At 46.8% G+C, this 3,895-nt stretch overlaps 1 annotated feature.

Annotated features, from left to right (window-relative positions):
- Positions 111-160: a silencer, noted in NCBI's record as "silent region_3707". NCBI's record gives its function as "represses an Ori minimal core promoter by ATAC-STARR-seq in GM12878 lymphoblastoid cells {active_cell/tissue: GM12878}" and the evidence as "EXISTENCE:reporter gene assay evidence [ECO:0000049][PMID:35858748]".

A 3,895-nucleotide genomic window follows, 5' to 3' on the forward strand; every position in this document is an offset into this window, starting at 1 on the left:
TGTTTATTCAGCAATTGTTGGTCTTGCTCGGGGATGTTCTCACTTCCTATTTAAAAATTAAAAAAAAAAAAGATTCTGAAAGACTTAAACAGTGAAAACATCTAGGCCAAACCAGAGCTACTGAAACAAAGAACTCTTTGAAAATCACCTATAATGCAACCCACCCACAACCCTTCTGCTCTTTTCATTAGAGAATGAATCATTCCCTATAACTGAATAATCCGGTTAACAAAAACTAAGTAGAGCAGGATGTTTTTAAATGCACCAAGATCTCTAAAGGGCATTACAAAACTGCCTGCCTTCCTGAGCAGGGATGCTGGGTGTCAGGTGGCCTCTTCTGGGTAGCTCAGGCCACCATCATGCGCAATAATGGCAATGTGCTGTAACACAGCCGTGATCTTAGGGGCCCCGCCCTGTGTGGGCATCAGTCCCTGGCAGCAGCAGCCCCAGAATATTACCTTTTTGCTTTTATGCTCGTGTTTCTACTTTATCTATCACCATCCTTATGGTTGTTTTGGAGTGTGTGACCTTCCAGCGATCTGTCCTACCAAGGACAACAGCGGCCCTAAGACTTTTGCCGGGATGGCCAAGAAACTGGGAGGCTGAAGAGAGCTCGAAGTATGGAGCATCCCTGCCCTCAGCTGTGAGCAGGGGAGGCGTGGGAGGTATCCTGGGGATACTGGAGAGGTAGCCACATGTGTGGAGCAGGCAGAAGGAGGGTCCAGGTCGTCTGGCTGGGACAAGGCAAGGGCAGAGGAAGGTGCAGCTCACTTACATGGGCGGGACATTTACCTGGGCTGAAACGACAGCAATAGGCAGCTGTAGAAGGACACGGGGCAGCTCAGCGTGGAGACGCCGCACATTTCAACCTGACAGTTGAGGCTGTGCAAACAGAAGGTAGTCAGGACTGCTGAAGCCTGACTGAGAGGCATGATGGCACTGTCTCTGCCAGTCGGCAAGTGAACGCAGAGGGCCTCCGTGGAGTCGTTCACGTGAAAACAAATCTCAGATGGAATCTTGCTGTGTTGCCCAGGCCGTACACAAACTCCTGGCCTCAAGCGATTCTCCTGCCTCAGCCTCCCCAGTAGCTGGGACTATGGGTGCCCGCCACCACACCCTGCTGGAGTAGTGGACTTTAACATCCTCACTTCCATATGTCAGGGACCAGTTCCTAATGCCACCTCCGTGAACATCACGTGATGGCCAACCAGATGTTGACTGTCATCACTGGGACTCAACTGGGAAACCCTCTTTTTCCTCCAAATTTGCTGCTCTAGGTGCTAAGGGTCTGTAGGACAGAGCTTTGGGACTGTTAGAATTCTATCAGAAAAAAACGAGACAGAAGGCTATAAGCATGAGTGTGGGCAGGGTGCTGTGGTTCACTTCTGTAATCCCAGCACTTTGGGAGGCCAAGGTAGGAGAATCCCTTGAAGCCAGGAATTCAAGACCACCCTGGGCAATATAGCAAAACCATGATTCTACAAAAAATTAAAAAGTTATCTGAGTGTGGTGGCACACACCTGTAGTCCAAGCTACTCAGGAGGCTGAGGCGGGAGGATCCCTTGAGCCCAGGAGTTTGAGGCCAAGGCTACAGTGAGCCATGATCACACCACTGCACTCCAGCCTAAGCAATGGAGCAAGATCCTGCCTCGTAAAGGAAGGAAAGAGTGGCCGGGTGCCATGGCTCATGCCTATAATCCCAGCACTTTCGGAGGATGAGGCGGGCAGAGTACCTGAGGTCAGGAGTTCGAGACCAGCCTGGCCAACATGGTGAAACTCCATCTCTACTAAAAAATACAAAAAAAAAAAAAAATAGCCGGGTGTGGTGACATGCACCTGTAGTCCCAGCTACTCGGGAGGCTGAGGCAGGAGAATCATCTGAACCTGGGAGGTGGAGGTTGCAGTGAGCCAAGATCGTGCCATTGCATTCCAGCCTGGGTGACAGAGAAAGACTCCATCTCAAAAATAAAAAAAAGAAAGGAAAGAGTGTGGTGGGAGACAGAACTTAACAGCTTCGTGCTTCAGCACAAGGACTCTAGTGCTGGGCAATAAGGATGCTGGCTCTGCACTTGCTGTGAACTGGACAAAATTGAGACTTGGCACTGCTGTTCCCTCCTTGTTAAGTGGGACCAATGGCAAGCATGAGGCCTACCTATCTCAGGGAGTCTGAGTCACTGTACAGCAAGGTCTGAGATGAGGGCCTCGCCTTTGTTCAGGGGGCAGTAAATGCTGGTCACCACCAGGGGCCTGATTTTCAAGCTCCCACTTTTGTTGTCTGATCAGGGGCTTTTCCCCCATCAGCTTCTTCTGCACCCAGAGGGTATCTACAAAAGCCACTGCAGCCGCTGCCCTCCCATCAGCACCTCCCTCCAGGAGACCCCCTTACAGCTTTCTTGTTGCAGGCCCCTGTCCACACCTGTGGTTCTTGTCCCAGCCCAGCCTCATCCTCTGCAGGTGCATTTGCATGAGCTGCCTGGCTTTCTTCCTTTCCTAATGAAAAGATATCATCTACAGACACGAAATGCATTCATTTCAGGTGCAGAGGGATGACTCACATTTGCCTACTCCTGAGTAACTGGACCAGGGCCTAGAATATTTCATGTGCCCTCAAGGCAGCACCCTGTTCCCTTCCAGCTAGGTTACCCCACCCAGCTCCACGGTCCCTGGAGGTAACCACGCTTCTGTCTTTAATTATAATAGTAAATCCTTCCTGCTCTTGGCCACCATATGGAGGGACTCATGCAGTACACACAGTCTCAGGTCTGCTTCCTTCGCTCAACATCCTGTGTGCAGACTCAGCCATGCTGCTGGATGTAGCCATTGCTGCTTTCTTGGTTTCTTTCCATTGCCATTCATTTTTTCACTGTGTAGCTGTACTTCAAATTATTCATTCTACTGCTGATTGATATTTGGGCTATTGCCAACTGTGTCTTTTTTCTTTTTTTTTTTTTTTTAGCTATTTACAATTAATGTCACTATGAACATTCTTGCACGTGTCTTCTGGTGAGCATCCCTGGGAACACTCCCAGGAGTAGAGTTGTTGGCTGATAGGGTACACGAACGCTTGGCTTTAAGAGATGCTGCCAAACAATCTCCCCAAGGGGTTGTTCCCATGTGCACCCCATCAGCAACCAGAGAACACATCTCTACAACAGACAGGCTTCTCAGCCTTTTTCTTTGCCATTCTGGTGGAGATGCAGTAGCTCCTGGTGGTTTTAATTTGCATTTTCCCGATGACTAATGATGTTGAACATATTTTCACATACATTGGTCATTTTGTCCAAGCCTCTTTCTCATCTTAAAAGCATCAGTGTGCCAGTCATTTTCTCCATGATTTGTATGAGCCCCTTATATTAGGTTGGTGCCAAAGTAGCTGCAGTTTTTGTCATTGAAATAGCAAAAGCCACAATTGCTTTTGTACCATCATAATATAATGTGGACTTGAGTCCTCCAGAGGATGAAAGTGTCATTGCAAATAACTTTCCCCTCTTGGTGAATTGCCTTTTCATTCTTGTAGCATTTTCTTTTGATGAAGAGAAGTTCAATTTCATCAATGTCCACTTTTTTTCCTTTTTTTTTTTTGTGGTTAGTGCCTTTTATCATCCTGTTTAAAAATCTTTGCCTAACCAAGATCATTTTCGTATATATTTTTTAAAGACTTTATTGGTTTGCTTTTTCCATGTAGGTTAATAATACATTTCAGTTTTGTAAATGATGCGAGTTGGAGTCAAAATTCATTTTTCTCTGTTTGGGTATCTATATGACTCAAAAGTTCTTATTGTTTTTTTAACTGCTAATTTTTTCATTGAAAAGATTCTTCATTTCTCACTTGGTTGAAATGGTGCTGTATCACCAGTCCGATATGTAACCAGTATGTAAACACATCACCAATATG

Source organism: Homo sapiens, chromosome 11 (genome assembly GCF_000001405.40).
Source record: "Homo sapiens chromosome 11, GRCh38.p14 Primary Assembly".
In the NCBI taxonomy this organism is placed as follows: Eukaryota; Metazoa; Chordata; class Mammalia; order Primates; family Hominidae; genus Homo; species Homo sapiens.